This window comes from Homo sapiens, chromosome 5, assembly GCF_000001405.40.
Source record: "Homo sapiens chromosome 5, GRCh38.p14 Primary Assembly".
NCBI lineage: Eukaryota > Metazoa > Chordata > Mammalia > Primates > Hominidae > Homo > Homo sapiens.
The window spans coordinates 70,381,732-70,404,971 of record NC_000005.10 but is presented as its reverse complement, the minus strand read 5'-3'; the positions used below and the strand labels follow the sequence as shown (position 1 = coordinate 70,404,971).

At 34.0% G+C, this 23,240-nt stretch overlaps 1 long non-coding RNA gene across 2 annotated transcripts, besides 3 other annotated features; it reads left to right on the top strand.

Moving 5' to 3' along the window:
* Positions 2,654-3,458: an enhancer, noted in NCBI's record as "H3K27ac hESC enhancer chr5:69697341-69698145 (GRCh37/hg19 assembly coordinates)". NCBI's record gives its function as "activates a minimal SCP1, AML or CMV promoter by ChIP-STARR-seq in primed H9 embryonic stem cells {active_cell/tissue: H9 hESC(primed)}" and the evidence as "EXISTENCE:reporter gene assay evidence [ECO:0000049][PMID:30033119]".
* Positions 3,459-4,265: an enhancer, noted in NCBI's record as "H3K27ac hESC enhancer chr5:69696534-69697340 (GRCh37/hg19 assembly coordinates)". NCBI's record gives its function as "activates a minimal SCP1, AML or CMV promoter by ChIP-STARR-seq in primed H9 embryonic stem cells {active_cell/tissue: H9 hESC(primed)}" and the evidence as "EXISTENCE:reporter gene assay evidence [ECO:0000049][PMID:30033119]".
* Positions 3,756-4,050: an enhancer, noted in NCBI's record as "tiled region #3898; HepG2 Activating DNase matched - State 24:Quies, and K562 Activating non-DNase unmatched - State 9:DNaseU". NCBI's record gives its function as "activates a minimal TATA promoter and a strong SV40 promoter by Sharpr-MPRA in HepG2 and K562 cells {active_cell/tissue: HepG2 | K562}" and the evidence as "EXISTENCE:reporter gene assay evidence [ECO:0000049][PMID:27701403]".
* LOC105379021 (uncharacterized) lies at positions 3,881-22,662 on the top strand. 2 transcript variants are annotated; one of them, XR_948438.3, is made up of 4 exons: positions 3,881-4,162; positions 5,751-5,801; positions 15,474-15,538; positions 22,587-22,662. It is a non-coding gene; the product is annotated as an uncharacterized LOC105379021 (long non-coding RNA). The 2 variants fall into 2 exon arrangements; XR_948436.3 differs by having other exon boundaries at positions 3,888-4,776.
* Positions 22,663-23,240: the final 578 nt, after the last annotated feature.

Genomic DNA, 23,240 nt, shown 5'->3' with positions numbered 1-23,240 from the left:
AATAGGAAGTGAAGATTAAGGCAAACTATCTGTCTTCACCCAACAATATCATTCTATACCTAAAAAACCTTAAAGACTTCAACAGAAGTCTACTAGAAATGATAAAGGATTTTAGCAAGGTTTCAGGATACAAAATCAATGTACAACAATTAGTAGCATTTCTATACAACAACAACAACCAGGTTGAGAGTTAAATTAAGAACACAATCATATTTACAACACCTAGGATGAAAATAAAATCCCTGCAAATACAACTAACCTAAGATGTGAACGATCTCCACAAGGAGAATTACAAAACACAGCTGAAATCTGAAGCTGGATGCAGTGGTTCATGCCTTTGGGAGGCCGAGGCAGGTATATCGCTTGGACCCAGGAGTTTGAGACCAACCTAGGCAACATAGTGGAACCTCATCTATACAAATTTTTTTTTTTTTTTTAAATAGCGAGGCATGGTGGCACATGCCTGTAGTCCTAACTACCCTGACGGCTTGAGGCCAGGAGTTCAAGCCTGCAGTGAGCTATAATAACTCCACTGCATTCCAGCCTGGGTGAAAGGGTGAGACTCTGTCTGAAAAAAGGAAGGAAATAAGAAAAGGAAGGAACGATGGAAGGAAGGGAGGAAGGGAGGGAGGGAGGGAGGGAGGGAGGGAAGGAAGGAAGGAAGGAAGGAAGGAAGGAAGGAAGGAAGGAAGGAGATTTTGATAACACAAATAAATGGAATAACATTCCATGTTTACAGATTAAAAGAATCAATATTGTTAAAATGGCCACACTGCCCAAAGCAACTTGTAGATTCAAGGCTATCTCCATGAAACTACCAACATCATTCTTCACAGAATTAGAAAAAACTATTCTAAATTTATATGGAACACCCCCAAAAGCCAGAATGGCCAAAGCAATTCTGAGCAAAAATAATAAAGCCAGAGAGGCGTCATACTACCCAATTTCCAGCTATACTATAAGTGTACACTAACCATGATACTGTTACAAAAGCAGACACTTAAGCCAATGGAACAGAATAGAACACTCAAAAATAAAGCTGCACACTTACCACCATCTGGATCGTGGACAAGGCCAACAAAAACAAACAATGGGGAAAAGGCACCCTATTCAATAAATGGTGCTGGGATAATTCGCTAGCCATAAGCAGAAGAGTGAAACTGGATGCTTACCTTCCACCACACACACAAATTAATTCAAGATGGATTAAAGGTTAAAATGTAAGACTTCAGATTATGAAAACTCTAAAACAAAACCTAGGAAATATTTTTCTCGACATTGGCCTTGGCAAATAATTTTTGGCTAAGTTTCTAAAAACAATTGCAACAAAAACGAAATTGACAAGTGAAAGTCAATCAAACTAAAAAGCTTCTGCACAGCAATAGAAACTATCCACAGAGTAAACAGACAACTTACAGAATGGGAGAAAATATTTGCAAACTATGCATCTGATAAAGATCTAATATAACAAATCCATAAGGAAGAAAAAATGACAAGCATAAAACAACCCCAGTTAAAAAGGGCAAAGCTAATACAGGAGCAGAAAATCAAACTCCACATCTTCTCACTTATAAGTGGGAGCTGAACAATGGGAACACATGGACACAGGGAGGGGAACAACACACAATGGGGAACAACACACAACACACACTATAATTTTCTGTAGGGGGTTGAGGAGAGGGAGAGCATCAGGAAAAATAGCTAATGCATGCTGGGCTTAATACCTAGGTGATGGGTTGATAGGTGCAGCAAACCACCACCACACACGTTTATCTATGTAACAAAACTGCGCTTCCTGCACATGTACCCCAGAACTTAAAATTTAAATCAAGAAAAGGCAAAGGACATGAACAGATATTTTCTCAAAAGAAGACACTCAAGTATATGAAAAAACACTCATCCTTACTAATCATCAAATAAATAAATGCAAGCAAAAACCACAGTAAGATGCCATCTCACATCAGTCACAACAGCTATAATTAAAAAGTAAAAAAATTAGATGTTGGCCAGGCTGCAGAGTAAAGGGAATGCTTATACACTACTGTTGATGGAAATGTAAACTGGTTCAGGTACTGTGGAAAGTATTTTGGAGATTTCTCTAAGAACTTAAAACAGAGATACCCTTCGACCCAGCATTCCCATTACTGGGTATATATTCAAAGGAAAATAAATTATTCTACCAGAAAAATATATATGCACTCGTACGTTCATCAGCATGTTATTCACAATAGCACAGACATGGAATGAACCTAGGTGCCCATCAAAGGTGGATTGGATAAAGAAAATGTGGTACATATACACTATGGAATACTATGCCTCCATAAAAAAGAATGAAATTATGTCCTTTGCAGCAACATGGATGGAGCTAAGGACATAATCCTAAGCAAATTAGTGCTGGAAAAGAAAACCAGATACCACACATTCTCACTTATAAGTGGAACCTAAACACTGAGCACACAGGAACATTAACATGGGAACAAGACATGCTGCAGGCTATGGGGGTGGGGGAGAGAGGGGAGCATGGGCTGAATAACTACCTACTGGGTACTATGCTCACTACCAGGGTGCACTGTACAAAAGTAACAAATCTGCATATGCACTATCTGTGTCTGGAAAAAACTGAAATTATAAAAACCAAGAGAATATGTTTCTAATGAATGTAGACTTTATTTGATGGACTGGATTAGAATATAATATTTTTTTAAGGGGAAAGGCATTGGGGGATGCACAATGTCTACAGGTTTCTAAACCTCTCTGGTTTCTCACCTAATTCATAGTCTCTTATGTCATTTTCATAGTTTTCATATTCTGCCTTTCCACCTCTTCTTTTTAACAAGTAAAATTCCTCATAGCATACAAAAAAACAATTTTATAAAAAACCCATATTATAGATCAGGGACCTGTGGATTATATGCTATTAGAACTATACAAAATGTCTCTATATAGTTTTCTGTATCTTTGGAATATCTTTGGGTGAAGCTGCAGACCTTCTTGGTGAGTGTTACAGTTCTGCGCAGAGCCAAACAGTGAGCAGCAGCAAGACTGCAAAGAGCAAAAGAACAAAGCCTCCACACTGTGGAAAGGGACCCTAGCACGTTGCTGTTGCTGGCTCTGGCAGCTGCTTTTATTCCCTTATCTCACCCCACCCACATCCTGATGATCGGTCCATTTCATAGAGAGCTGATGGGTTCATTTTACAGAGAGCTGCTTGGTCTGTTTACAATCCTTTAGCTAGACACAAAAGTTCTCCAAGTCCCCACCAGATTAGCTAGACACAGAGCACTGATTAGTGCGTTCACATACCTTGAGCTAGACACAGCATGCTGATTGGTGCATTTACAATCCTCCAGCTAGACGCAGTAAGTTCTCCAAGTACCCACCGGACTCAGGAGCCCAGCTGGCTTTGCCTAGTGCATCCCGGCCGCGGGCGGAGCTGCCCGCCAGTCTCTGGCGCACTGCCGCACTCCTCAGCCGTTGGGCGGTTGACGGGACCGGGTGCCGCGTAGCAGGAGGTGGCGCCCGTCCCCTCGGGGTGGTGCGCGGGAGCCTGCGGTTGGGGGGCGGGGGGCGGGGGGCAGGGGACGGGGGCGGGGAGGAGGGTGAGGGCTCCAGTATGGCAGGCTGCAGGTCCCGAGCCCTGCCCCCTTGCCCCGCGGGGAGGTGGCTGAGGCCCAGCGAAAATTCGAGCGCGGCGCCGGCGGGCCATCACTGTTGGAGGACCCAGTGCACCCTCCGCAGCTGCTGGCCCGGGTGCTAAGCCTCTCACTGCCCAGGGCCGGCGGCGCCAGCCGACCGCTCAAGAGTGCGGGGCGCGCCGAGCCCGCGCCCACCCGGAAGTTGCGCCGAGCCCGCGCCCACCCGGAAGTCGCGCCGAGCCCGCGCCCACCCGGAAGTCGCGCTGGACCGGCGAGCCCCGCAGGCAGCCCAGGTTCCGGCCCGCGCCTCTCCCTCCACACCTCCCCGCCAGCAGAGGGAGCCCGCTCAGGCCTCAGCCAGCACAGAGAGGGGCTCCCACGGTGCAGCTGCGGGCTGAAGGGCTCCTCAAGCGCGGCCAGAGTGGGCTGAGGCCGAGGAGGTGCCGAGAGCCAGCGAGGGATGCCAGCAAGCTGTCACCTCTCAGAAATACAGGAAGAACATCAATAATGTTCGAAGTTATAAAGTAGTAGGTTTCTATCAAGAGTAAAACATAAACGAAGTTATAAAGTAGTAGGTTTCTATCAAGAATAAAACATAAACGATCAAAGAATTCCTTATAAAAACATTTTTTATTTCTAGGAATCAAAACATAAATATAAAATTTGAGAGTCCACCAAAAAAAATTAGATGCCAGATTTCACTATAATTATCAGGGAAGCGCCCAAATGGGTTGTTTACGGCGCCTCGGGGAAACTTTCTGTTTCGTGTTAAGGGTCTTGAACCATGATGTTTAGAAAACCATGGGCTGATGCTTTCAGAACCTCTGTGATTTTTGCCTCCGACACTGCATCCAATAGACTAGCATGTTGATTAGGGAAAGCTAAATTCAATAAAAGACGACTGTAAGTGGGGTCACCACCTTGAGGGGTCATGTTAGAAAAGTAGATGATAAGGTGGTATTGATAGAGTATTGAAGTCTGGGCTCAAATGGTTGCCCGGGGCCTTTCAAGACCAATGACTGATAAGAATAGGTAATGTTCAGGACATAGAGTTTAGGATTGGGGGACACTGTGAGTTAAGGGCCATGACAGAAGTCTTCATAAGTAAACTGTTAATTGACACAAGCTGCTACCTGCCCAGGTGAGCAATCTGTTGGCCCAGAGGAGAGTTGCTTACTGACATAAATTGATTTGCAGAAATTTCCTGAAGCAAACAATAAGTTATTTATTGGTTTGCAGCCTTACTTTCCTGAAAAATAATTTTCTGGAATGAATTGTGAAATCATGTTGACACAGATGGCCTCAGGTTTCAGTTCGGATAATTAAGCTGTGTAAATATAGAAAGTCGAAGGTTTCTGGGTGCTGTTGATTCACAGTATGCAACAATGATCATATTACTTTTATTTACTATGAGCTTCAGCTGAAAATCCAAAAGAAACTTTAATTTCAGATATTTAATGAAATCATTATAGCTGTGGTAATTTCCTTTAGCTGGGTGTGAGTGTGTGATGTGAGCGTGTGATTGTGTGTGTGTGTGTGTGTGTGTGTGTGTGTGTGTACTCTGGCAGCATATTCCAAATAATTTCTGTAAAATTTCAGTTTGAAATTAATAGAAGACATATTAAATTGTTTAAACTCTTTGTTATTTAAATTCTATATTACTTTAGTCGATTACTCTGTATTATTACGGCAAAGCTTTGATATGTTGCCCTGAATTTAAAGAAAAGGCTGTTCGGCCTAAAAACAGGAATATTTTATTACCAAAAAGAATTAACTACCATATGTCATTTACAGAAAAGAGTAAATTCTTCAGGGCATAGAAAATACACATTTCCTTCTGTTTGTGTGGAAATAAGCAAAATACCTGTTATAATAGATTCCTCACAGAATTTTGTGAAGCTTCAGGTAAACTTGAAAGAGAAAAATTAAAATGCTAGAGTTTCATAATTACAAATTGGGATATAAAAATAGAATAATTATTTGAATTTTGTATTTCTCTCCAGGGGATCAAAAGTAATATATAAACTTTTAATAAATATTGATATAGCTTCACGTTGACTCCATATGTGAGCAATTTGCTTTCTGTTAAATTCACAATTGCATAATTTTTTTCAGGCTGGAATGCACTTGGATGCCAGAGATTTTGATTTCTTCATGTGAAATAAGGTGATAATACATTCCAAAGTATATATTTTTTCAACTTTGAATATATCTGGTGTATTTGGAGTAATATCTGAGTAAATACACTTATATGTAAGAGAATCAAAGGAACAAGATATTATTTTATATCCAAGGAAATTAACACTTAGAACATAAATACGTATTGCATTACTTCATATTAAAGAAATGTTTTACAAAAGAAAATAAAGGAGCTTATTTTATAGCCCCATTTCCACAAATAATAGCAAAGGTACATACACATATCTAATGTTTTACACACTCATTATTGTTTCTCTTAAAATTTGTTGCTTATACTATTTTAAAAGGCAAGCCTATAGATTGTTGTGTGTATATACATATACACACAACATACATATATGTGTGTGTGTGTGTGTGTGTGTGTGTATATATATATATATATATATATATATATATCAGCAAGCAAGAGAATGGGCCTCTTCCTGCTGAGGTTTAACATTTGCATGTATATGTATATTTTGATTCACATAGACTTATTGTTCTTTAATTACATGAACAGTGATTCCTGGTTACATTATTGGAAAATGGAAGCAATGCTCAAAGAGCATCACCTAAATTTCCATCATATTTTGCTCTCAATATATTTTGTACATCCAAATATATTGTGATTAATCTGCATACATTTTTGCTGTTCTAGGTGACGCTGGTATGAGGCTAGGTAATACACGACCTTAGTCTGCATGTTGTACTTGTGTAACACACATAATTTTACAGTGCTAACAGGTGCTATAATAACTAACTATAGTTAATAATGAATGAAAGAAGGAAGATGTTAAGATGTTAGGGAAGGACTCAAAAGATGCAGTGCTTGAGTTAGAATTTTAAGGGAGATTATGCAAAAGCAGTCACTTAAGGTGGGTCGGGATGATCTAGAATGTGGGAATGATGTATGCAAAGTCACACAGGAGAGATACAGCATGCATGTTTAGAAAATTGTTGATTACATATGGAAAGTTTGCAGGACTTGCATCCTAGAATGTCAGGATTTTAAGCTAAGTAGGGTTCAAATTAAATTTTTCACATACTTCGCTGCATTATAATAACTAGTTTATGTTTAACTCATCCACTAAACTAAGTTATTTGAAAAGAGATGCCAGTGTTCACTCAATCTAGTTGTCTGTCATTAATAATTTAAAAATAATTGAGATTTTAATTTTGGTCTGCTAAGCCTGTTTAATTAAAATTTGACGTTAAATAAGATTTTACAGGCCTCATTTTTTTTTCAGTCATCACAGTTTGAATATTAAACATTACTACTTTTATCTCCCTCAGTCAGCATAAAACATACTACTTATGGTTTTAATAACCAAATTCAATGAGCACCAACAAAATTTGATGTAACTATTAACTTTGAAATTTTGTTGAAATAGAACTATGCCTTGGGTATCATTCAAAGCATTTAATTGTTGCAATAAAAAACTTTGAGATAAATTGAAATGATGGACAATATGGGTCGAAAGCAACACTGGCTTGAGGGAATAGGCTAATGTTTGAGAACAGAATTGTTAAGGACAAGATTGGATGTTTATATTATTTTAGGAAAGATACACTCTAATGGAGTTTAATTCTAAAATGTTTAATATTATGAAAATATTATATGTTATATGATCATTATAGAAAATTAAAAATATAAGAACATCAGAAGCAAAATAGTCAAAGTCTACCTAAACCCAATTAGAAGTGAATACTATTAATCTTGATTTGCATGTTTCTAATCTTATTATTATCAAATTAATAAACAGCTTTCAGATATTCTGCTTCTCCCTGTTACTAGATCAGGATAATGTCATTTATGTACAGGCATCTCCTGCTTACTCAGTTCAGCATTGATCAATAAATATTTTAGACTTCCATTCAAAACACTTCCATTTTTCTTTTGCCCATATTCTTTTTATTCAGTGCTGCCTGTTTTCAAATACATAACACTTTGTCAAACAAATTCCAACATTAGATTGGATATAGTTGGTATCAAAGTAGTAATACACATTGCCATTCCTAATCCTCAGTGCATTGATCCTGAAAATTATTTGTAAGAATAGAAAAATACTGGATATTTCAAATTAAGTCTCATTTTGTTGCTTACCCATGAAAGACTGGAATTAACCAACATAACCATTACAAGGTGATTGAGCAAATGAATAGATGGAAAATATTATAGAAACTTTACTGCAGTTCATCAACCATTGTGGTCATTAGGCCGTAGGAAAATACAGTGTGACAGTACCCCTGTCTTCTTTTCCATTTGTTAAGTCTCATATCCAAGTAACAGTGGGTAGACCTTATGAGAACCCAAAGTGAGATAAAAATAATTTTTGGCTTTTCAATGTATCTTATTTGATCTAAGAGGTATTTCCCCGACTTTGATGCAATAATTCTTGTCACAAAATTTGACTTTACTGAAGACCGTTTTAAGGATCTTTGCAGCTGACAGCAGTGACTTTTTTACCTCCTACAAAGTTTCAACTGACAGTCTTATTGTCTCTGACTTTCCCAAATTAATGACATAATTAGTCACCAGGGCTTTGGCTGCTCAATAGGGATTTAGTAAGCAATGAGTCATATGTTGGGGAACACTTCAACAAACAAAATGTTGGCAGAGAAAGATGTATGAATCAGCTAGGAAGAAACACTATTCTATCACTGAGGATCTTTCTAATATTAGATATCACAGAAAAATTTTCATATAGATTACCATATGAGTGAGCCAAAACCTCTAGGAACAAAAAAGCTTAGTATAATTATAACTCCTTGCCATGATTTAACTTAAAATTTCTTTACTTATTTAGCAATTCTATAAACAAGAATCATTTCTGTTAAGGATACTAAGGAGAGTGTTCCTATTGAATCAGAACATTTAAAACAAATAATTGAGGGAACTCACACATGTAAAACGTCATTAACCAAACTAAAATAAAATGTGAGGGCATAAACTTAACCAGAAATGTTTAAAACCTATATATAAAAAAAACTAGAAAACACTTCTGAATGGCACAAATTTGGACTTGAGCACGGGGAAAGAAATTCCATGCTCTTGAAAAAGCCTTAAAATCATAAATGTGCCAGTTCTTTAAATAAACTTATATCTTCTGTGTCATAACAAAACGACATTTTCTAGAATTTCTTTTTCCAGATTTAGAAAAATAGACAAATTTACTTGGAGGAATAAAGAAGCAAGAATAGCTAGAAATATCCTATAAAATCAATGGAATTTGGAGTCAATACAAAATATTAAGCAATTCTTAAAGCTTCTATGATTAAAATGAGTTATAACTACAGATAGATGAAGATCATATAGAAAATCAAGACATTGACAGATATGGAAAGGTGGTATATAATGAAAACATTTCAGATCAGTGAGGGGGAAATGTTAACCGGAAAAGAATATTAAAAAGGCAATGAACTCAATAAGACAACAAGAAGCAAACCACAGAAAAATAACTGGACTGGATTAGAAAGAAAATACTTTAGACACTTCAAAAATAAAATATTCAAATAACCAATGAACTTATTAAAAGGTTTTTATTTATATTGGTTACCTGAAAAAATAATTCAAACCACAATGAGATGTAAGTACTTGTCATTCAGAATCCTGAATTTGAAAGGAATATTTTAGAATTCTAAGTTGAAGAGAAAGTGCAAAGTATTGATGAGAATGTTGACTAATTAGAACACTCAAATTGATGTTATTGGCATAACTTAGTTCAAATAATTTGGATAAAGATATGTATTAGGCCCCAAAATTCTACTTGTAAAGATGGTTTCTCCAGAAATGCATGCATATATATAGCTAAAAAAAAATGTGTACTCATGAAAACACTTTTCAGAATAACACCAAAATAACCCCAAACTGTGGCCCAAAAGTGGACTAAAATACTTATAAAGAGTACAGTAAACAAATAAGTTGTAATATGATCACCTAATAAAATATTAGAGAAATAAATATAAATAGTTTCATTTGCAGGTCATATAGTCAATTCGTCTCACAAATATAATATTAAGCAAAAAAATGTGGTTCAAAACACTACACACACTATTTGATTCCTTACTGGTAAAAGTTAGAATAGTGTTATGTTAGGAGGGATGGGTGGAAATCAGGTGTGTGACTATTACATTTTCTTATTCTGGATGATCATAGTATTTTAAAACTCACTAAGCTTTAAACTTATGTGCATTTACCCATGTGTATACAATACTTTAATAGAAGCTTCAAATCAATGAGAAAACATGAAACTGTCTGATGGAAAAATAGCTTGAGGAAATGAACAGGTATGGCAGAAAAGAAGGGCTGCATATAGTTTAAAAACTTGAAGAGATGTTTAATCTCTTTGCAAATAGAAAAACATACGCATTTAAATTGAAATACCATTTTCATGTTCCAAAATTAAAATTATTAGAAATATGATGGTAAACAGTGATGGTAATATGGGAGAAAGGAAACATCCTAGGCAATTTGGCTAAGCTTTTCTGAGAAAGATTTAGGCAATATGCCATTAAAAGATTTAATGTGAACAAATGGGAAATTTGCCCACATAAATAAATGGAAAGATACTCTATTTTTCCTAATTTAATCTGAAAATACCTAAGCCCCTGATATTTTAGAGACATAATTTTCACTGCGATGGTCATAATTTTAAAAGGTTGCATCATCCATTTTTAGTTAACATATATTGTACTAACATCACATATCTATGTAACAGAAAAATAGAGTCAACTCATGTAGGGACAGACATGAAAATGACAAATACATATAGAGATAGAAAGGTATCTTGTGCATTATACTGAGAAAGACAATAGAAATAAACAATTTACATGGGTTGATTTATTTTGATTAAGATATATAAGTGGTTAGATAAATGTTAAATAGGTCAGTATGTAATTACAGAAAATGACAAATTGTTATGTATGGTACATTTGTAGGCATAACACAGACATTACATTTTGGAAAATTGTGTTCTATGCAACAGTGCCAAGTCTAATGAAAGTAAGAGGAAGAGGAATTCAGCCAAAGTACCAACCCCTGTTATCCATTCCTTAAGAAAGGAACTTCTTTATACACTCAAAAGAGGGGATTCTTTTTAAATTTGTTTCCAGAGGGGCATCTGCATACACATACACATACACATACACACACACACACACACACACACACACATTTACATTATATTTAAATGTGTGTGCATGATATATATATATACATGTATTTATTTATTTAATATATATGTGTTATCTGGGTCCTATATAGGAACACACACACACACACATTTTGAATCAAACACTCTTTCGTATAATTTTGGTGACAAACGTATGCAATAAATGAGAATACTTTAACTTTCCAAAAAGCTATTCAAAAGTATAATTTTCAAATAAAATATATGTTTGTATGACAACAAATGATTTTTTATAAATAATATATTCTGCATTATCAATCTGCCACTGGTTTTTATTAAATAAAAAAACCTGTAAGTTTGTATGCTCTTAAAATACATATAACATTTGTAAGAATAGTTTTTGTGTAAAAATAATTATAGTTCACTATAACTATGTTAAAAATAGACATAGCCAGGCAAGTCGCTCATGCCTGTAACCCAGCACTTTGGTAGGCTGAGGCGGGCAGATCACTTGAGGCCAGGAGTTCAAGACCAGTCTGGCCAACATAGCGAAACCCCATCTCTAATAAAAATACAAAAATTAGCCGGGCATGGTGGCCCATACCTTGTAATGCCAGCTACTCAGGAAGCTGTGGCAGGAAGATTGCTGGAACCCGAGAGGCGGAGTCTGCAGTGAGACAAGATCATGCCACTGCACTCCAACCTGGGTAACAGAGTGAGACTCTGTCTCAAAAAAAAAAAAAAAGAAAAGAAAAGAAAAGAAAAGAGAAAAATAGACACAGATGAAGGGTGTCTTTGATTATGCAAATAGATTACCCATCTTGTACTCACTGTGTTTATTTCAATAAATGATCCACAGAATATGCTACTTTTGATTTATAGTTTTCTTCTCCTTCACCGCTGTGGACTGGGAAAATATTTCTTATTATTTCTGCTGCAGAGTAGCAAAAAATTATGAGCCAGAAGGAAGACCACTACAACAAGCAAAATCTCTGAGTAATCATAAAATGAAGAACTATTTCCTGTTGGGATTCACTGTGACGAATTTGATTTTAAATTCTTGATGTTGGCATTTTATTTTTAAAACTTAGCTTTCTTGCCTATTCTGAAATTGTCAAAAATTCAGAAAAATAATCATGATCATTTGCTTGCTGACCAGTGGAGACCTACTGATTTTTAGGCTGTGAGACTACAGTAATAAATAAATAAAAAAGTTCATACTTCCTTCTATCGAGGGAAATTGAGCATTTTTCTCATAGTCCTAAATCACCAGATCAAGGGATATATGTAATACTTGAGTGTTGACATTTTATTAATTTTTATATTTAACTAGAGCTGTAAAGTTGAAACAAATGGGTCAATGCAGTAGCCCATAAAATATTTTAAAAACACATAAAAGAAATATCACTAAAATTTAAACATAAAAAAAATACAAAAAAACCCTGAGCTATAGGAAGGGAAGTATCCTCTAAATGCCCAAGTTGAAGGTAGTCCTCTTAGAAAGGGACAGTAAGAAGCAGTGTTTGATGGGAACGTGATTTTTCAAGTATTTGAATTTTCAAACTCACCACATTAACTGAGTAAAATGAAAAAAATATATAAACTTCCTCTGAGGCAGAAAAAACATTTGGCATTTTCAAGATAGAATTATAATAAAAATATCTCGCCCCAATAGAATACAAAGAAGCATCCTTAAGCAAATAGAAGGCATCTACGGAAATATCACACTGAAGTGTGAACTAATAAATTATTCATTTAAGATCCAGAAGAAGACAAAGTGTCCTCTTTCACTATTGTTCTCTCTACTGTATGGGAGGAATTAACCAGTGAGACAAATCAAATAAATAAGTAAAACATACACAGTTAAGAAATGAAAAATACACTTCTAAATTTTTAAACAACTCCATTACCTACACATAAACTTCTAGTGACTGTAAAAATCAGCTGCTGGAATAAACTAGTAATTTTAGCCACATCATAGAAAAAATAAGTCAACCCATTAACTTATTTCTATATATTTCCAATGAGCAATTAATGATAAAAATCAAATCCATGTAAAATACTAATAAAAATAAAATATGTATATATGATTTTAACAAATTACATGCAAGATCTCTCTAAATAGGAAACTAGCAAAAGTGTTGGGAGATGTAGGAAAGTTCTAAATAAATGGAGTCGCATACAATAATTGATGGTTTTGATGTGTGTCCCTGCCCAAATCTGGTATGATGTAATCTCCAATGTTAGAGGTGAGGCCTGATGGGAAGTGATTGGATCATGGGGTGGATTTCTCATGAGTGGTTCAGCATCATCCCTCTTGATACTGTTCTCATAATAGTGAGTGAGTGAGTTCTCATGAGATCTGGTCATTTAAAAGTGTGTAGCAGCTTCCCCTTTCACTCTCTTGCTGTTCTGGCCATGTGACGTGCCTGTCCCCCTTTGCTTTCTGCCATGATTGTGCGTTTCCTGAGTCTTCCCAGAAGCTAAGTAGATGCCAGCATCATCCTTCCTGTATAGCCTGCAGAACAGTGGGGCAATTAAACCTCTTTTCTTCATAAATTGTCGAATCTTCTGTATTTCTCTATAGCAATGCCGGAACAAACTAATACAATAATCATGGCTTGAAAGTTCAGTGAATTTTAGTGTGTAAAAGGTTTTGGTTTTTCCAAATTAATCATTCTAGAAATCCTCACCATAATCACAAAAGATATTTTTATATAAATTGACACACTGATTTAAAAATGTACATCAAGAGAGCAAAAACAAATGATAGAAAGCTGAAAAAAAAGTTGGAATACTCACACTTCCTAACACCATGCAATAACTTAAAGCTATAGTCATCGAGAGAATGTGTTATTAGTAGATGGATAAACAATTAGAGTAATGGAATGGAATAGAGTTCACAAATAGATCCATGCTTATATGAATAATATAATATCAAAGATACTGCAGTTATTCAAAGGGGAAAGATAATTTTATTTAACAAAGTGTGCAGAACTACGAGATAAATGTGAAGAAAACAAACCTCAAGTCCTTCCTCACAACAAAAGCGTGAATGAGTTCAAAATTAAAGGAGTCCAAAATATATTATGGAACAATGTGTAAAAGTGAAAGCATAGGCTTCAAATATAAAGCACAGAAAATGTCTTAGTAAACTACATGAAAGCACTTCTTTTTATCCAAACTGTGGATACATTTCTTTTTATTCAGAAAGCAATAATTATATAATGATAAACTACAGAAATGTGTAAATATATTTATACTTTAATGTTTATTTTTAATTACACAATTATATATACTATTTATTATGAATAAGAGCAAGAATATATAAATATAATGTACAACATAGAAACAAGAGAGCTATAAAAACTAACAGATGCTACACAAAAATGATATAATAGCAAATAAGCAAATGAAAAATTTCTTAATATCGTTAGTAATAAAAAATAAAATGAGATAATTATACACATCTACTAGAAAAGCTACTATTTTAAAAATTGTGTTACCAATATTTGGCATAGATGTCAAGAAACCAGACTCTAGAGTTTGCATACATCGACGGTGGGAGTGTAACACAGTACAGCTACTTTGGATAACTAAATCTACCTTACATGTACCAATTCTACCCCTAGGCATTTATCCTAGGGGGGAGAAAAGCATAAGTCTGTAAAAAGGCTTGCACAAGTACCTTTATTCATTATTGTCAAAAACAGACACCATGCAACTGTCCACCAAGAGCGGCGTTCTCAAGTTCAGCACTATTAGCTGTTGAAGTGGCTTAATTCTTTGTTGTGGGGAGCTATCCTTTGTGGAACCCTGGCCTGTGGACACTCTATCCCCTCCTCCACAAACCTCTGATAACCAAAAGTGTCCCCAAACATTGGAAATGTCCCCGGCAGGTAAAATGTCCCTCATTTGAGAACCTCTGGTCAAGAGTTTAGTAAATAAATTATAGTGGTATGTCTATGAAATGAAATAATACGTAACAATAAAAAAAGGTGCTACTTCAACATGCAAGAAATTGTTGAATCTCAAAAATATTATGCTTAAGGAAAAAAGACAAAAAGAATTCATACTCTATAATTCTACTGATATATAATTGTAGAAAATAAAAGCTAATATATGGTAATAAAACCAGATTAGTACTGGATTGACAATGTGTTGAAAGTCAAAAGAAGAGGCTTGAGATCTCTTTCTAGTGTGATGGTTTTACAAGTATATACGTATGTTAATGTTTAAAAATTTCACACCTCAAAAATGTGCAGTATACCAGATGTTAATTATATCTCATAAAGCTATTAAAATTTTATCTCAAAATTATAGCTTTATTGCATTTAGGGCATTATCCAATTTTGAATCTAGTCCAGTTATCATAGCTTAATGCAGTATTATGAAAATAATGCCTATAAAGGTCCAGTTCCTCAAACACCCTTGGAACCAATTTTGTCATCTATATTAGTTACCTTGGGCTGCTATAATGAAGTACCACAAGCTGTGTGTCTTTAAGCAACAGAAATTTCTTCCCTCACAGTTGCGGAGGTCAGAGGTCAGAAAACAAGGTGTCTGCAGGACCAACCTCTCCTCTGGATGCTCTAGGTGAGAATCTTTTCCATGCCTTTCTCTTAGCTTCTGATGTTGCCATCAGAACTTCAGATGGTGTTCCTTGGCTTCTGTCAATATTAATACATAAATCCTTTTCAGTCTCAGCTTCTCTCTTCACATGGTCCTCTCCACATCCTATCTGTTTCTGTTCCCTCTTCTTATAAAGACAACCCATGTTATTTTAAGTCCCACCTACAGACATAATTTTAGCTTGATTACATCTGCAAAAACTTTGTGTCCAAATGAGGTTTCATTTACCTTATGTGTATAACTAGGGGTTAGGGCTTGAACATACGGGTTTGGGGAGGGGAACACAGTTCAGACCATGACACTCATTGTTTCACTCATTAATGAGTTAAGGGTGCTTTGATATTATTACATTTGAATGAGAGTGGTCTTTAAAATTACATTTTGTCGTGTAGTTTGTTCCACCCTGATGCTTAAAGGGAGTCACCTGCCTCAGCCAATTAAACTGTGTTGTCTCTGCAGTGCGTTTTATCACAAGAACATGACCTTTAAGCACAAGAACACCTTGTACTCCACCACTAAAAACAGAAATGACATCTACCTTCACTGCTTCCCTATTTCTCTCCATCTTTACTGACTTGGTATTTTGTTGTTGCTGTCATTTCTGGTTGTTGGTCAATTTTCATTTCTGTTCTTATTTTGCTGATAATTCTTATAAATCAGTGCTGAATTTTGTCAAATTATTTTTCTGCATCTCTACAGATGATCATTTTATGTTTTCGTCCCTGTGATAATTTAGTGAATGTCATTGATCAATTTTTAAATAATGAATATCTTTGCATTTAAGATAATATTTTTCACTATTAATGTTATCTCTGAAATGAAAGCTAAACCTAGTCAATAGATATTAGAGGTGCATGATTTTTAAAATTGTATAAAATTAGATAAAAAATACAAAGAAATATATATAATTTTAAAACTATGTAAAAATGTAAATGCCAAATGATAGAGCACTAAATGAAGCTTGTAATATTAAATACAATCTTTAGAAACTCTTTTGCAGTGCAGGAAAAAAATAGAACTGAAAACAAAGCAGAAGAAATCACAGATATAAAATTAAAGAGGATAGAATTAAGCACCTGAGTTCCCACATCTAAAGTGAAAATCTAAGAATTTAAATATCATTCAAATACAGACTAAAATACAATATAAAATAAAATTTCCTGAGCTAATTTTTAAAATACTGCTTAATTTGTAGGTAAAAATGCAGACTAATTTTCTGACTATATTACTATAAAAACCTTCTACAAATATTTTTTAACTAAAATTATAAGAAAAACATCCGCCATAAACACGTAAGATTAGTATTTTCGTTTCTGAAGTATAAAATGTCTGGATAGACTTGAGCTTGTTGCTTTAGTTTTATATGTGAAGACTGGAAAAATTCTGTTTTGTTTTGAAAAATATTTTGAGCTAAAAATGTTGTATTCCACATTTGTTAGGAATGGAAGTCTTTAAAATATGAAATATTTCCAATTGAAGAAAAATAGTGAAAATGAACTTTATCTGAATAAGATTAATGAAAATTACATGTTGAAAAAGTAAAATAGTTATGTGTACTAACAGTGACTACTAACCCAACAATATAAAATTAAGTAAAAATGTTATTACCATGTTAAATACAAATTAAAATTAATTATAAAAAAGTTAAGATCTATGATTAAAGTATTAAAATAAAATGAGACTGTATTCACAAATCTAAAAGCAAATTGGTGAATGACATATTTTTTGAAATAATAAATTCTTTGGCATATTTTATATTTTTTATTATAAATGAAAATTATTTATTTGAAATATTTAAAGGAACAAAATATTTGCAGCTCTATTTTATTGAGAAAGTAATTACAAAACAAAAACAAGGAGCTTTTGTAATTACAAAAGAATATATTAATAATATTATTTAGAAGCACAAAACCAGAAAAGCTTTATATTATTTCTAACAATAAATGTAAACCATCTAATTTTCTGAAAAGGGGTGGAAATAAATATTTAACAAAGAAGATATTATTCTTAAATTGTAATATGTACATTGCCTAAAAATAAAAAGGTAGTTGAAGATATATTGTGAACAACAAAAAATGAAGAGCTGATAATATTAATGTGCGAAGGAAACTCATAACATATTGTACTAATTATAAATCAGTGTATTGACAAAACCTGAGTCCTCAATTATTATTGACTGTCATTGACATGTTAATGATAGAATATTAAATATAGAATATAATAAAGCAATTTAGAATAAAAAAGAGAAAGCGATAGACATGAATAGAAACAAAATGCAACTGTTCAATATTAAAAGCCTTTCTAAATTGCTTGTGTTTTTCTAGTGACCTGTTTCGCTATGCAGTGTAGGCTCAGGTGTCTAGATTTTAGTTGCAGATAAACACAGGTAGTGTTTTCCAGATCTCAGAATGACCAGTTACATAAAAATAGGCCATAAACCATATATTTCATTCTTACGGTTGACAAACCTCTAATTCACCTGAAAATATTAAAAAGAAAGAAGACAGACGTGACAGTGGTTGGAAGTTGAGGATAAGAAGAAGTTGGCAGAAATAAGCTTTCTTCTTTTGGACAGCAATGCATGATAAAAAAAATTAAACTAAATTCAGTTCATTTCCACTAACTGGGACTTATTTAGAAACTTTAAGAAAGTCTGAAGAATTTCAATTGAGGAGTAAATAAGGGCCAATTTATTTCATAGTGTGGACTCTCAAGACAATATACAACAGTGCTTCTCAAGGTTAAACAGTGTATGAGTGACCTGGAAATGAAGATGCAGATTTAATAGGGCTGGAGAGAAGTCTGAGATTCTCAATTTCTAATGAATTAAATTACAAAGAGGAGAAAATAAGGTTATTGCTTACTTTATATACATTCACAAACACAGGCTAATCAAATAATTGTTTAAAGTATTGCTCTGATAAGAATTAAATTACATAGTTCATAGGAAACATTTTCTTTACATTCGGATTTTATCTATTATTAGAATAATAATAGAATCTTGACTTTATGTAACTCTATGTTCCAAACAACTAGAAACTTTTCGATAGCAATTGTTCACCATTTAATAACATTTTTCCAAGATACCTAATGCACTCAAGGACAAAATAGCTGCCTTCCAGTGATTTCCAATTTATTCAATTTTCAGGCCATCTGTCTGCCCACACAATGACAGATTATAGTTACATTCTTGCCATGCTCTGAACAGCTAAGCCAATTGTTTTCAATCTTTTTTCTTCAGCAACTCCATCTCTTAAAGTACTTCAGAGTAGTTCCTGAAAGGATTCCTCTTTAGTTAAATGGCTATACAGCTCTCCCATCATCCAAAATAATCAGTGGAGAGATAGCAATATTTTTCATTACATTAGGCCAAGTTCCATTGCTTCCTTCATCTTGTAATCTGATCAGAAACACCACTATAGATTCAATAATTGAGTTTAGAGTTTCAGAGAATTTGGGGTCACAGAACATCTATGTCTATTTTGTAAAGATTATTGCATATTACTGAAATAGCTTGTCAAACACTGCAGTCTGCTTAAAGTATCAAAATAGAAATGTTGAATGCTGTGTCTGCACAGAGTTCATTTAAGCAAAGAATCTACTAGGCTCTTAAGTCTGTTAATGCAAATTCCTGAATACAGCTGACCCTCCATACCCCCATTGTGGGTGGATTTAACTAACCATGAATCAAACATATTTGTTAAAAGAAATACCAAGAATAATTTTTAAAAAGAAATACAACAATAAAACAATGCAAATAAAAAACAATCCTTATAACAATTATGTGCATAGCATTTATATTGTATTCAGTATTATTAATGTAAGTAATAATCTGGAAATGATAGAAAGTATACAAGAGGGTTGTGTAAGTTATATGCAAATACTAGGCCATTTTATATAAGAAACTTGAGCATCTCTGGCTTTTGCTATGAAGGGATGATGGTGGTAGGATTGGTGGTGGTCCTGGAACAAATCCCCAGCAGGTACCAAGGGGGACTGTAGACCCCAAAGCTGTTTAGGAATGGGTCACAGCAGCAGGACTGAGGCAGGAATGCTCCCCACAGAAAACATCAACCACCTGTTGATTTTTGAATCTGCTCCTCTCAGGCATGCCTTCAAATGCTATAACCTGGAGAGTCAACTCATTTTCATGCTGCTAAGTAGGAATAGGTGATTCAATTCCCCAAGAAAGTGACAGAGGTCCCTGAAATATAGATTTAAAGTTACATAGTGTCAAATGCTAGTCATTTTCTTTTTGCTCGATGGTATCCTCTCAGAAAAACCTTTTATAATATTTCTAATTCATTTACCAGATTTATAGAATCATCAAATTGTCTATCCATGTGTTTTTCAAATATTTTGTGAAGTGTCTAGGGTAACAACCTAGTGTTCGAACGTATTTTGTGAAGTGGCTAGGGTAACAACGTAATGTTCGAACTTATGTTCGTATTTAAATACAAATGTATTTTGGTTGAGTGATTACTCAAGGTCACTGAGGAATCCACAAGGTTAACCTCCTGACTCTAGAACCATTGTTATATAGAGATATATAAATAGCTGATTTAATATTATAGGCTTAGCAAAATATTTAATAAATAAGGTCTTAGTAAAACAACACACATGTATTTATCCACTTATTTAATTTTGTTTTTCCATTTCTTCTGAACATAAGTTCCTGAGGACACGGGCCTTTTTTCACAGTTCATTTTTGGATTCCAACATCTAGCCAGTACTCTGCAAAGAGCACTGAATTTGAAAGAAATTTCTCAGTTAATGATTTGAATCATATAAAATATTTAGTAAATTTGAAAACTAGTAACCGTGTAAAGCGATTAAAACAAACATACTAGAGGGTAATAATCCCCCGCCCCTTGCCTTCTTCCTTTACATCCACTTCATTCTTATTCTTGTCTACTTCCCCTGCCCCACCCAGGGAACGTGGTTAGCCCATCAGCTGCAAAGATTGTTCTCATATAATATTGTTCTGATGGATAATGAGACTCTGAAAGTGGAACATAAACAGATAAAACAAAAACAAACAGAAAAGAACCCAAAAACCTAAACTCAACTTCAGTTAAAGCAGAAAATATCTGTCCAGCCTAAACCAGGCATACTCCACAGACTTCTGTTAGACGCCTGATCCTACTTCAGTCTGGAACCACCTAGTCTTCAGGTTTGCCTGGTGCTCACCAGCTGAAGAAATCCTTTAACGACCTTTATTCAGTCAAGTAAATCGTTTTCTTTTGGCAACTTGCATGTTATTTTTTAGGTTTTCATTTATTTATTTTTTTATATTTAAAGTCATATTTTCTTCCTTTTATTCACTTTGCTGGTCTTTCTCACTTTGATTTTTTTTTTTTTGCCTTGTTTTGCATTTGTTTACTTTAACATTTTTTGTAACTTATCTCTTTTATTTTGGAAATTATTCACATTATCAGTTTTCTTTTGCTAGGCAATTTTGATATTCTAATAAACATTATTAACATAAAATATAAAGTTTACTAACACCAAGCCCAAACAATACAAAGTCTTAGGGCTCTTTAATTGCAATTATTTAAAAATATTTGCTACAAATTGTTCATTATTTTATATTCATGTTGTTTTTCTTATTCCCACAAATCACATATTGTTGGTGTGTTTGTTAAATAAAATTGTGACTGCTTATATATGTTTTTTCACATCCTTTCTTCTTCTAATATTTTGGAATTTACATCCAGTTAATTATCCTTTATTCTATGGTACATACTGTAAAAGTTACTATTCTTGGTAGTAAACTCTCAGTTTTTGGATTGTCTGAAGATGTCTCTATTTTGATCTGCTCTTGAATTCTAAATCTAATTGACATAAAATTCTAGATTTGCCGTTATCATTTATTAGCACTTCAAAGATATTCCACAATTTTCTGACTTTCAATATTTTTGTTGGTAAAAATGGTGATTGTTAATTGGCTTGCATATTCTGTTTTGGATATTCCACTGTTTCCTTATAATTTGTTTATTTATAAGGAAACTTATAAACAAATTATAAGGAAACAATAGAATATCCAAAATAAAGAGAATAGTTATGGGTTCGTATAGATAATTCTTCAGAATCTACTAATTTGTGTCTTTCTTCTTTACTTCTGTAAACTTTTCAGCTACTATATATTAGAATATTTCTTAACTTTTTTATATTCATTCTGAAATTTCTTGCTGAAATTTGTTCAGAAGGTGAGTTAACGGAGCTATACATCTTTAGTGTCATGTGCTCTAAATTGCAAAATACATGTATTTTTATTTCAGACAACTTGAGTAACATTTGTGCAAATGTTTTATATACACGGACTTAATTTGGTAAATTTAGGCATGTGGTAGACAAATTTAAAAATGTATAAAAATCATGGGCAAGCATATGAACATTCTATTTTTGCTACTATAAAAAAATAGCAGACTATCCAACTATTTTATGATACTCAACGATACATCTTACTAAATGGTCACGACTCTTGCCTCTCAGGGTCAGAGTTTGCAATAGTGAAAGCAAGAGAAAGCCACGGAAAAAAAAACAGGGAGAGGGAAAATATTAAGCTCTAGAATATGTACATTGTTTTGCTTGTATAAATTTGGAACATTCAACACATGTTTACAATGAATACATATAAAATACCAATGACATGAGGAGAATTAGAATAGAAATAAATACAAGGATTCTTTCATGATAACTAAAAATATCAGTGAAGGTTTGTACATAAAATTTAGGGATTTTATATTATTACCTAATACAATTCTGGCTATAACATCACTAAAGGATTGTAAACGTCTGCTGGGAAACCTATGGGAAAAAAATGCAAGTGGAACTGGTGTCATACAAACACATTTTCTAATGGGAAGCTTAACTGGTGAAATGTAAGTTGGAAACGTTACTCAATTTAGGTCTATGAAAATGTTTTCCCAAATACAATCTTTTCTTGTTTGATAGGAGGTTTTACTGTGATGTATTATTTCTGACAGCCTCTTTTTTTTTTTTTTTAAAGGAAACGAGTAGAATTAAGTGAATTGATTATCATATCTAACCTGTAAGTACAAATTACTTTCCCTTGGAATTACATAATTGATAATTGTACATCCTCAGATGTGTTTGAATCTGAGATTTACTCTAAACTCAGAGGAAAAAAAGTGAAATTTTGTTTCCATTGTGACACCTTTGTTTCCTTTTTAATTTTTCAAAATTTCTTAAAAATTATTTTTCCCTTTCATAATTTATTCAACAAGTATCTATTGTTAGGTGTTGGGAACACAAGACCTAAAACTCCTGACAAATATATTCTATTTCTGAGGTCAATTTGTACATTAATAAATGCATATATAATACCAGACAAGATTGTAATGCTAACCAGTTTGACTTTGAGGCACGGTATTCAGAATGTAAATGCCCCTGGAAAAAACATTGAATATAAATGCCCCTGGAGAAAGAATGTAGTTGGAAAAAGCATTCTGAGGTAAAATTATGCAATATTGGTATGACTAATTAGAGTGACCAGAGGTTCACACATTTTTGTGACATGCCATTGGTAGAAAAAGAGCCATAGCTGAAAAAATATGGCAGTCATAAGATGTCAGTGGAAATGAAGACAAGGATACCTTTTGGTCAATTTTCTTGAAAATATTGGCTTTTTCAACAGTGTAGT